The 11,922-nt window shown below is 41.0% G+C and overlaps 1 long non-coding RNA gene across 1 annotated transcript, besides 1 other annotated feature; it reads left to right on the top strand.

Moving 5' to 3' along the window:
• Window positions 1–4,311: 4,311 nt before the first annotated feature.
• On the top strand, window positions 4,312–8,309 carry LOC124904284 (uncharacterized). Its single transcript, XR_007066341.1, has 2 exons — window positions 4,312–4,716; window positions 5,194–8,309. It is a non-coding gene; the product is annotated as an uncharacterized LOC124904284 (long non-coding RNA).
• Window positions 11,047–11,260: a silencer, noted in NCBI's record as "fragment chr18:33012187-33012400 (GRCh37/hg19 assembly coordinates)". NCBI's record gives its function as "represses an EF-1alpha promoter that drives an FKBP-Casp9 reporter gene in an ReSE screen in K562 erythroleukemia cells {active_cell/tissue: K562}" and the evidence as "EXISTENCE:reporter gene assay evidence [ECO:0000049][PMID:32094911]".

The raw sequence follows: 11,922 nt of genomic DNA, 5'->3' as shown, positions 1-11,922 counted from the left end.
CATGATGCTCTGGAAGGAAGCCCAGGGCTGCCAGGACAGGTCCGGGTGGCACTTGGTATCGTGTGGGTTGGGGCAGGGGCAGGCTTGGGCTCGGGTTGGAGAGTAACACTGAGGTCTGCACCCTGGCATAGGCCACTCCCTGGTCCCAGACACACTCCCCTTCCTCCAGTTGCCCAGGAATGAGTCGTGGCTCTCTGCAGAGCATGGCGATATACTGCACTGAGTCTGTACCTCTGTCTCCACTATAAAGGAGGCTGATGCTTCTGGGCCGAGACCTCATTGGTTCAGTTAGTTTAATGGATTCAGCTTAGCGTGGGAGGAGAAGGGAAAAGAAAAGGAGGGATAACACGGGGGAGAGAAAAAGGCAGGGGAGAAAAGTGGGGAACAGGAGTTGCAGGAGTGAAAGCACAGTGACCTCCAAATCCCACAGTACAAGGCTAGGAGGGGACACAGACCTCTGCACTCAGTGATACTCAAGCCATCTCTCCAGTCTTTGGTTTCGTCTTCAGATAATGAGACATGTGAGTTCCCAACACCCAGAGCCACCGTGCTCCAGACATCCACCACACTGATCGAAGCACATGGGCTTTACTGCTGGGGCCAAATAGCAGACAGGAAGAGGGCTTATAGACACAAAGCCTCTTAGAGCCTCGGCTCACTTTAGATTGTTTGTGATTTTTTTTTCAGCCTAGCATGTTTTTTAAAAAGCAGCACAATAATCGGGCTAACATCATCTGGCATTAGTGGGAACACTATAAATATTTCTATTTTGAGTCAGGCCAAAACATTATTTTACAATATCATTTAATCATTTCTTCCAGCATTCACCTAATTACTACAAATGTCAAGCAAATGTTTGAAATGAAAGGAACTGATATGTTAAGAAATAAATAAATTTATGGTAATAACAACCACCCCCAGTCAGGCTAAGTACCTAAGGTTCTGGATTTCTTCCAGGGGCTTCCACAGAGCCCAGGAATGTTTTTGCCATTCACTTATACAGCTGAGCTGACCAGTTGCTGTGACAGGGAGCTTTGTTGATTTGGTTTTCACTTTTCAGCATGAAATACAGTTCTGTTTTGATTCTCCCGCCTCTAGGGGTCTCTGAATGTTTCTAACTAGAATGTTTCTGCTCATTTGCAAAAAGTCTTGCTCCCCTGGGACTGGTGGGTGCCTGGAACTGCTGGTGAGGTGAGGGTCTGCTTGGACCACAGCTCTGCTTGGTCATCCCACAACTCAGGAGTGTTTCTGGAGTTAGAACTTTCCTGAGGTGATAAGTTTTCACGAAAGATAGCACTAACTTGACTTTTGAACTCAATGTGATTTTCTTGTAAATCTAGCAAAGTGCTTCATCTGGGGAATTCTTGCACAGATTCTGTCTTGTCATCATCACCGCATTACGCAGTTTGTGGGCATGTTGACTTTTGTGTGCGCTGGTGATTCCAGCAAGCTTTCCCCTGATATACGAACACTGGTCAGACGTCTGACTTCATATCTGGTGTCTGCATCAGTGCTTCTAAAAAGCAAGCAGGTGAAAGGTATCAGATGTTTGGGGAAGGGGCTAGGGGCCGAGGAGAGTACAGTTCAAAATAAAATAGCCACAGCTTCCTTAAAAAGTAAATACGTAGGGCTGGGTGCAGTGGCTCACACCTGTAATCCCAGTGCTTTGAGAGTCTGAGGCAGGAGGATTGTTGGAAGCCAGGAGTTCAAACAATCTGGGCAATAAAGCAAGACTCAGTCTCCATAAAAAAATTTTAAAATTAGCCAGGTACAGTGGCATGTGCCTGTAGTCCCAGCTACTTAGGAGGCTCAGTTGGAAGGATCACTTGAGCTCAGGAGTTTGGGTCTCCAGTGAGCTATGATGGCACCACTGCACTCCAGCCTGGGTGACAGTGAGACCCTGTCTCTAAAAAACAAAAATTTTTAAAGTAACTATGCAACTAATAGGTGATCCAGCAATTGTTGTCTTAGGCATTTATCCCAGATAAATGGAAACTTGTATTCAGATTAAAGCATACACATGAATTTTCATAGCAGCTTTATCTATAATGGCCCCAAACTAGAAACAATCTAGCCGTCTTCCAGTTGCAGCATGGTTAAACAAACTGTGGTACATCCATACCATGAAATAGTACTCAGCAATAAAAAGAAACTGACTATGGATACACACAACAACCTGATAAATCTCCAGGATTTATTCTGAGTGAAAAAAGTCAATCCCCAAAGTTTGCATACTACATGATTCCGTTTATGTAACATTTTTGAAATGACAAAATCATAGAAATGGAGAAGAGGTGATGGGTTACCAGGGTTTATGGAGGGAGTGGTGCAGGAGCAAAGTGTTTGGCTAAAAATTGGAGACATGGGAATCCTTGCGGTGGTGGAAATACCTGGTGTCTTAACTGTATCAATGTCAATATCCGGGTTGTGCCATTGTACATAGGTTTACAAGATTACCACTGGGGGAAACTGGGTAAAGTGTACCAGGTATCTTTCTGCATTCTTACAACTGCATGTGAATCTTCAGTTATCTCACAATAAAAACTTTAATTTTTAAAAAATAGGGTGGCCAAGGTGGGCTCACTGAGAGGGTGATATTTCAGCTAATACTTGAAAGAGGTGAAAGAGATGGCCGTGCAGGTATCTGGGGAGACAGTGTCCCTGGCAGAGGCCCCAATTCAGGTGAGCACCTGGCCTGCTCAGTGGCACTAAGGAATTGGTGTGATGAACAAGGTGATGCATCAGGGACATAGCTGGGGCTGGACCCAGGGGCCCCAGTAGGCATGGTAAGGTCCTGGGCTTTTACTATTAGTGGTCTGGGGAGCCTCAGAGGGTTCTGAACAGCAGAGTGATGTGGGCTGACTTCGGTTTCAACAGATTCCTCTGGCTGCTGAGTAACTAGACTACAGGGGCCCATGGGGGACAAAGCTGGCATCACTGTTAGACAGTTCACCACAAGTGGGCAAGCAAGTAAAATAGTGAGGAATAATAATGAATGTTATGAGACAAGCAAAGAACGGGCTGGGGAGGATGCATATGGGGAGGGGAGACAACGTCGCTCCCTTAAGGAAGAAGGTGACACTTAGGCGAGGCACAAAGTAGGAGAAAGAGCCGGGTTAGAGAGTTCCCAGTGGAGGCAACAGCCTGTGCAAGAGCCCTGAACAGTGTGGGGAGGAGGAAAGACAGGGTCCAGAGACGGAGTCACTTGCCACCATCGTCACCGGTCAGCCATCCCTGCTTGGCCTCTCCCAAGGATAGCACTTTGCATCCAGGGCACTGGCCTCACACTCCTGCCGTTTTCCTCAGAGTCACAGAGCCAGGTCTGGATAGCACTTCGCTAGGGGCCCAAGAACAGCCCTGATTTCACAGTGAGCATGAGTTATACCTTCCTCTGTGAGGGTGAGAAGTTGTGGGAAAAATGAAACTCAATCTATTAAATGTGTCTGCTTCCCAAAGCTTCAAACCCACACATGGCAGGACCTGGTAGCCCAGGAGAGAAGGACAGGGCAGGTGGGCTTTTGTCCCAGATAGCAGACACAGGACTGCTATCTTGGATATGTAGAAGTCAAAGTCGGAGTGAACAGACTTTAACAAAATATGCATATCATGTTTATCAGTTTTCTGGGGCCGCTGTAACAAAGCACCACAAACTGGCTGGGCTGAAATGACAGAAACTTATTCTCTCAGTTCTGAAGACTAAATGTCTAAAACCAAGGTACAATCAGGGCATACCCTCCCTAAAGTTCTTAGGGGTGGATCCTTCCTTGCTTCTCCCAAATTCTGATAGCCCCAGGTATTCCTTGGCTTATGGTAACATAAGTCCAATCTCAGCCTCCATTTTCACACACTGGCCTCTCTCTGTGTCTTCGCATCACATCATCTTCCTTTTTTTTATTTATTTATTTTTATTTATTTTTATTTTATTTTATTTTTGAGATGGGGTTTCACTCTTGTTGCCCAGGCTAGAGTGTAATGGCGCAATCTCAGCTCACTGCAACCTCCGCCTCCCAGGTTCAAGCAATTCTCCTGCCTCAGCCTCCCGGGTAGCTGGGATTACAGACACCTGCCACCACGCCCAGCTAATTTTTTTGTATTTTTAGTAGAGATGGGGTTTCACCATGTTGGCCAGGCTGGTCTCGAACTCCTGACCTCAGGTGATCCACCCACCTCGGCCTCGCAAAGTGCTGGGATTACAGGCATGAGCCACACCGCCCGGCCTCTTCCCTCTTCTTATAAGGACACCAGTCATATTAAATTAGGGCCCACCCTAATGACCTCATTTTCACTAATTACATCTGCAATGACCTTATATCCAAATAAGGTCACACTCTGAGGTACTGGGGGTAGGACTTCAGTGGATCCTTTTGGAGAACATAGTTCTGACCATAGTCATGTCACACCAGGAAAGAGACAGTGATGAGAAAGGACTGGCAGCTTTTGCTTTGCGGGATCAAGTCACAGATTTTGCTCCAGAGAAGCCATTCTGAGCTCATGTCCACACCCTGGGTCTGCTGACTCTGAATCACTCCCACTAATACCTTTAAAAATATGCTTCAATCTGAGTGCTTCTGTTATTGATTTTGTGTAAAACTTATTTTTATGCTCTTAAGCCAGGAAATTTTTGTTAGAGGTACACTGCTTTACAGGCACACAAGGCTGAATGACTGGTCTTTTATCCCTTCCTCTGCCATGGCCACAACACCTCCCAGTTGGGAAGTAAGTGGGGGTAGATAAGGCCAGGACAGATTCTGGAAGGCCCAGGAAGCCAGGGGAACTTGGACTGGCTTAGGGAGGCAGTAGGGAGCCATTCAGGTCCCCAGCAGGGGAGTGATATGGGAGACACAGAGTTCCCAGGGCTGGGCAGGGCAGGATGAAGGAGACAAAACAGGGCAGTGAAGTGTAAATGACAGGAGCAGGAATTAAGCCATCAAGATGAAGTTGCAAGCATATTATCTGATATTTTCAGACTTGGGGAGACAAAGATGAACCTGAAGCTCCTCTTTGGGAGACAGTGAGACTCAGGGAACGATGTGTTGTCAGTGATAAAAACGAGGGCATGCAGGAAAAATAGGGAAGGAGAGCTTTAAGAAGAAGGGGAAGCTTAATGGCTTCAAACTTCATCTGAAGGCAAGTGTGTGGTGGTTCTTGAAGAAAAACCTTCTTCTTCAGATGTCTTCTTCCTCCTCTTCACAGATGGCTCTTTGCTCTGCTTCCAGGATCCTGGATGTCTCAGTCTCCCCAGGTGATCATGTGGCCTCAGAAGCCAGAGCTAGATGTGCTCCTGATCTTGTAGCCCCTCGTCCTATGCCTCATCAAAACCAGGGGTCATTGGAATGGACTGAAGAAGGAGAAAACTAGAAAGGATCTGAGGGAAGTGGTCTGGCTGAAAGCTTGACGTGGACAGAGTCCTGGCTCTCAGGCAGACACTTAAATTCTCCTGGTGCTGCAGACATCACAGCTGAATCCATTTAAAAGAGGATGGCAAATATATAAATCATGACCTCAAAATTCCTTCAATCTCTCACAGGACACCAGGGAAATATTTTATTATCCCTCAATAACAACCAGGGTCAGGAATAAATTTGGAATTCTTTAATTTAGGCTCCAGTTCATTTGCTAAATTAAATGCTTGAAATAATTTCCTGCTATGAAAATATGAGACTCTTACTATTCAGATAAATAGACTTTTCAAATCAAAGGCTTGAAATCTTAAGAATTATCTCAAAATGCCTTTTGAAAAACCTTTTCTGTTTTGGATCATAAAATGTCAAAGGCACACTATCATGAACCACAGTTTCTCTAAATTTAGCTTTACTTATTAGTATGCAGTCATATCTAAGTTAATAAGATGTCATGCTTAAAATAATAAAATCCATTTCTTTGGAAATATACTGTATATAGATGGGACTACCAGCTATGAAGGAGTGAAGCGGTTAACAAATCCTCTCCCTGCAAAGCAATTATAAAGCTGGACAAAATTGTCGAAAACAATTATTTCAGGGCTCTGGAAATTGACAAGGGGCAAGCAAATTGAGAAATTTATGTTCTCAAGAAACTATGGAGATTCAAGTAAACACAGTGGAAATACATGGCATTCTTGCTGAAACTGCCTCCACCAGTCAACATGGTTGTTTGACCTGGACAGCACAGGCCTTCACTTGATTTGAAGTGAAAAGTAGAAACCCACAGTCAGCAGCAAGTGGGAAAAGCTTGCAGATTTCCTAGACTGAAGTTGCAATCCTGGTTGGGATGAGCAGTATTGAACTAACCAGAAATTTAACAGGAAGGTCGTGGAAATGAACTAGCATTGAGAGCTTGACAAGCATTCCATATCCCTGTCTGTCTGGGAACCTGTATGCATGCACAGTGGAGACCCAAGAGGGCCCAGTGTTAACATAACACCTAGGGCAGAGATGAAAACTGGCCCAAATTTGAATACATTTCCCATTTCAATCACAGATCCACCAGTGGCAAAGTATGGTATTTGAACACAATTTCTGACCAGTTTTTGAGTGCTCATTAAGCTGTGCAGACACAAAGGTGACCCATAAGAAGCCAACCCTTCCACCTGTGCAAAAAAACAAGTAAGAATTTTTTTTTTTTTTTGGGAGATGGAGTTTCACTCTTTCACCCAGGCTAGAGTGAAGTGGCAGGATCTTGGCTCACTGCAACCTCCGCTCGCCCTCCCAGCCCCCACTCCCCGGGTTCAAGCTATTCTCCTGCCTCAGCCCCCTGAGTATCTGGGATTATAGGCACCCACCACCCACCACCACACCCAGCTAATTTTTGTATTTTTATTTTTAGTAGAGACGGGGTTTCGCCATGTTGGCCAGGCTGGTCTTGAACTCCTGACCTCAGGTGATCCACCTTCCTCGGCCTCTCAAAGTGCTAGGATAACAGGTGTGAGCTACCACGCCCAGCCAACAAATAAGAATTTTTTTAAAAAAACTGATCAGGGATATCAGCAGATGCACACTGAAGGGTAACAGATTCTGCAGATCAAGTCCAGGCAAGTTATAAACTAATATAAGGTAGCAACAACCAAGACTCTCTGAGGTTGAAAGGAAAAATGAATCCAGAGTTCTTATGATATATTATCTAAAATATGAAATTTTCAATAAAAGTTTATGAGTCATAGAAAAAAAATGAAGAAAGTATTATCCATACTAGGGGGTGGAGTGGAGGGCAGGAGAGACGTCAATGAAATGGTCTTTGAGTGCTTTAGATGTTGATTTAACAGACAGACTTCAAAGCTGCTATTTTAAATATGATAAAAAAATTGAAGGAAATCATGCTTAAATAATTTAAGGAAAATATTATGAAAGTGACTCAACAAGTAGGAATATCAATAAAGAAATAACATTTTTAAAAAAGAACCAAATGGAAATTCTAGAGCTGAAAAATGCAGTAACAAAATAAAAAAAGATTATATGGAATCCCTACTAAAGATAGAATGTTATCCAATCTGAAGAACAAAGAGAAAAAAGATTGAAGAAAAATGAGCAGTCTCAGAGACCTACGAGACAGCATCAAGCATAACAACTGTGGAAGAGGAGTTTCAAAATGAGAGAAGAGGAAAAGGGCAGGAAAATAAAATTGAACAAATAGTACTCAAATCCTCCCAAATTTGAGGAAAAACATTAACTATAGATCTAGGAACCCCACTGTACCCCAAGTAGGAAAATCACAGAGATCTTCACTTAGTCACATCAAACTGTTGAAATCAAAAAGCAAAGAGAAAATCCTGAAGGCAGCAAGAGGAAAACTAATCATCTATAAGAGAACAATAGTACAAATCATGGTTAAATCCTCATTAGTAACAGTGGAGGCCGGAAAGCAGTAGAAAGACATATTCAAAACACTGAAACATTTGTCAGCCAATAATTTTATATTCAGCAAGATTATCCTTCGAAAAGGAAAGTGAAATAAAGACATTTTCAGATAAACAAAAACTGAGATAATATATCGCTAATGACCTGCCTTACAAAAAATACTAAACAAAATCCTTCAAGATGGGAATGAAAATTACTCCAGTTGATAACTTGAATCCACAAGAAGAAATGAAAAATACTGAAAATGGTTAACATATGGGTAATTATAAAAGACTTAATGAGTATACATTTTTTCTTCTATTATTTCTTTAAATGGTATGATATGCAAAAAAACTGTACTTTTTGGTTTAAAATATAAATAGATGTAGTAATGTACGATACTAACAGCACAAAAGTGAGAGTAGGGTAGGGAGGAAATTGAGCTGGATTGGAGGAAAGTTGCTATATTTTACTGGATTAAATTAGTTTTAGCTTGAAGTGTGTTGTGGTATGTTAAAACTCATATTGTAATTCCTAGAGCAAATGCTAAGATGATAACTCAAAATTATAGTTTAAAAATCAACCAAGGAGTTAAAATACTATACAAAATTATTTGCTTAACACAAAGAAGGGAGTAAAGGAGGAATAGAGGGACAGAAAAGACACAAAGCATATGAAAAACAAATAGCATAATGACACATTTAATTCTAATCATATTAATACTTACATTAAAAGTGAATGGAATAAATACTTCAGTCAAAATCACAGATTCTCAGACTAAATTTAAAAAAGCAAATCCAATTATATTTTGTCTATAAGACATACATTTTCAATTCAAAGACACGTGTAGGCTGAAAACCAAAGGAGATCTGCTCTGACCACTCTTATTCAGTGTAGTACTGGAGGTTCTGGTCAATAAAAGAAAACAAGAAAGGGCAATCCAGTGTATTGTATACAGACTGGAAAAGAAGAGATAAAACTTTGTTTTTATTCACAGACAGTATGATCCAGTATGTAGAAAACCTTTTTACATATATATAGCATATATACATATACATAGTGGTACTAGGTCTGGAAATGTTTCAGGATAAAAGATCAATACATAAAATATCAATCTTTCCTACATATTTCCTACATATGCACAATGAACAATCCAAAAATGAAATTTAAAAAATTTTGTCCACAATAGTATACAAAATAATAAAATATCTAGGAATAAACTTAACTAAGAACTACAAGACTTATACATTACAAGTACAAAGATTATAAGAGAAATTAAAAATCTATATAAATGGTGACATATTCCATTTTTATGAATTGAAAGACACACTATTATTAATATGGCAGCTCTCCCCAAATTGACCTATAGATTCAACAGAATCCCTATCAAAATCTCAGTGGGATTTCTTATAGAAATTTGCAATCCAATCCTAAATGTATATGAAATGCAAAGGACCTAGATTAGCCAAAAAAATTTTTGAAAAGATGAACAATGTTGGAGGACTCAAACTACTTGACCTCAAAACTTACTACAAAGCCACAGTAATCAAGACAATGTGCTGTTGGCATAAAGGTAGATGTATAAAGCAATGGGACAGAATTAAGAGTTCATAAATACATCCTTACATTTATGGTCAATAGATTTTTCACAAAGGTGCTAAGGTAGTTCAGTTAAGAAAGAATAGTCTTCAACAAATATTGCTAGGACATTTTGATATCCATATGCAGAAAAATCAATTTAGATCCTTAAATCACAACATGTACAAAAATTAACCCAAAATGAATCACAGGCTTAAAAGTAAGAGTAAAAACTAAAATTTCTAGGAGAAAACATTGTAGACAATCTTTGTGGCCTTGGATTAGGTAAAGAGTTCTTAAGTATGGCATGAAAAAGACAATATGTTACCAAAATAAGGAATTAATTGGCTTCATCAAAATTAAAAACATTTGCCCTACAAAAGAGACCATTTAAAAAAAGATGAATCACAGACAATGAGAAAATATTTGCAGATCCATGTCTGATAAAGGGTTTGTATCTAGAATACATAACAAACTTTTATGATTCAATAATAGAAGGTCAAGCAACTTAAATTTAAAATGGGTGAAAGATTTGAGTAGCTATTTCACCAAAAAAAAGATATTCTAATGACCAATAAGCACATGAAAACACGTGTCTACACAAAGGCTTGTATGTGAATGTATATAGCATCTTGGCACTGGGGGCTGGCTCTGCAAGTGGAAGGAATGGAGGCTTGGAATGTCCTTTGGAACTTGAATAGATCTGCACTGCACAGATCAAATCTATCATGAATAGTCAGTAATGCTGATAAGAACAACAGTATTATATATTTATTCATGGTGACCATGGCATTCTGTCCCAGTATAGGCTTTGCCATTTCTAAGGCACATTGTTGACCACCATGTTATCTGAGCCTCACTCACCCAGTGGGTAAAATTCTTCCCAAGACTGGCCTCCCTGTACACCTATACCACCTTACACACCCCTTCTACCCCCATCACCTAGTCACCTCCTCACCTCCCTCCCTTAGCCTAAGAATATCCCAAGTGGCAATGGCCAAGCTACCTAGCCTGTTGTTCCTGATAAGGTAAATCTTTTCTGGTTAAGACTAAGCCCTCCCACTCTTCTAATCTCTGTCTCTTTGAAACAAAAAAATAAGTCTTATCACCCTGACATGTCTTATAAAGAGTAGAAAGGAGAGAAAAATAAGAACATTTACTATGACTGAGTTCCATTGCTGGGACTTGTAAAAATCAGTGCAAAACCACAGTAGCTAAGGAGGAGGGAGAAATGTGGTTTACTGAGATTTGCTGAAAAGAAAGAATTTCTCTCATGGGGCAACTTGCTTGGAAATAGAAGGAGCTGAAATTTAGACATGTGATTCTCATTACCAGCTACATCCTTTCAGACAGGAGGCAGAAATAATTGGATCCATTTCTATTTTAATTATAACTCTTTGGCTTTAAAGAAATTGCCAGTGGAAATCTGCAGGCCACTACAAACACTGCCGTTTCAAATTCCCCAGATTTTAATGTGGCCTGGATTTCCTTCAGCAGGGCTGAGGCCACTGCCACAATACATGTTTGCTGCTGTTATAGACTAAAAGTTTTCCCCAAACAAAAATGAACTGATCTCTCTCTTTCTGCCTTTACCTCCCCCTCCCTCCCTCATTCTATTTTTCCTTTTGAAATAAGTAGAAAGACCTTTTATATTTTGCCAACCACAAAAAATAGGAAAGAGAAGGAAGCTTTTCACCACGAATGACAGTAGAGTGCTGGCACACGGCGCTTCCTTTCTGTTGCCCTTAGGTGTCTGAAGTGGTCCCCCAACCTCTCTAAAGTTTCAGATTGAGGAATAATCATGAGTTCTGAGAAGTGCTTGAAACTGGAGGATGGGGTCCCAGTGAAGTCAAACAGCACAACCAACACTGAAACCTCTGCAGTTGAACCTCATTAGAGCTGGTCCTCCTCACTTTCTTCCCATCAGTCTCTCTGTCTCAAAGACATTCTTGGCAGAGTTGGAAGGGAATTCCAGCAAGATAATACCATCCAGTGCCCAAGGCAGGGGATGCAGTGTCCATGTGGCCCCCCAAAAGATCACTGCTCCCATGTTCCTGAGAGAGGAACCTGATGGATATCTGAGGTCCCCATGCCAGTCCTCTGATATTGGCCCCACTGAAGAGATTGGTGGCTTGTTGACCACAGCCTGCCCAGGATAAAGGCTGGACTAGTCTTACTTTTGAAGCTGAGCAAATAAATATAGAAGCACAATCCATGCTGTGGCCACAATTTTGTTTTAAATTAAAATTTAAAACAAATTTTAATTTAAATTTGTTTTAATGTAAATTTAAATCCCAAAAACAAATGGCCAGAGACATGCACCATTGTTGGCTTTGAAGATGAAGAAGGGGCCATGAGCCAAGATAAAATGGTTATGTATGCTCGAATGTTTTGCTTGCTCTAATTTGCCCTGCACTTAAATGCTTTACTCAAATTCACTAAAATATAATTCAATAAGTCTTTAAAAGTCACTTTAGTAGGGAAGTAGAACAGCGTTTGTTTATTTGGTTGCTTTCTTGATTTATGCACATAT

This window comes from Homo sapiens, chromosome 18 (assembly GCF_000001405.40).
Source record: "Homo sapiens chromosome 18, GRCh38.p14 Primary Assembly".
Taxonomy (NCBI): Eukaryota; Metazoa; Chordata; class Mammalia; order Primates; family Hominidae; genus Homo; species Homo sapiens.
This window is presented reverse-complemented; position numbering and strand designations above follow the sequence as displayed.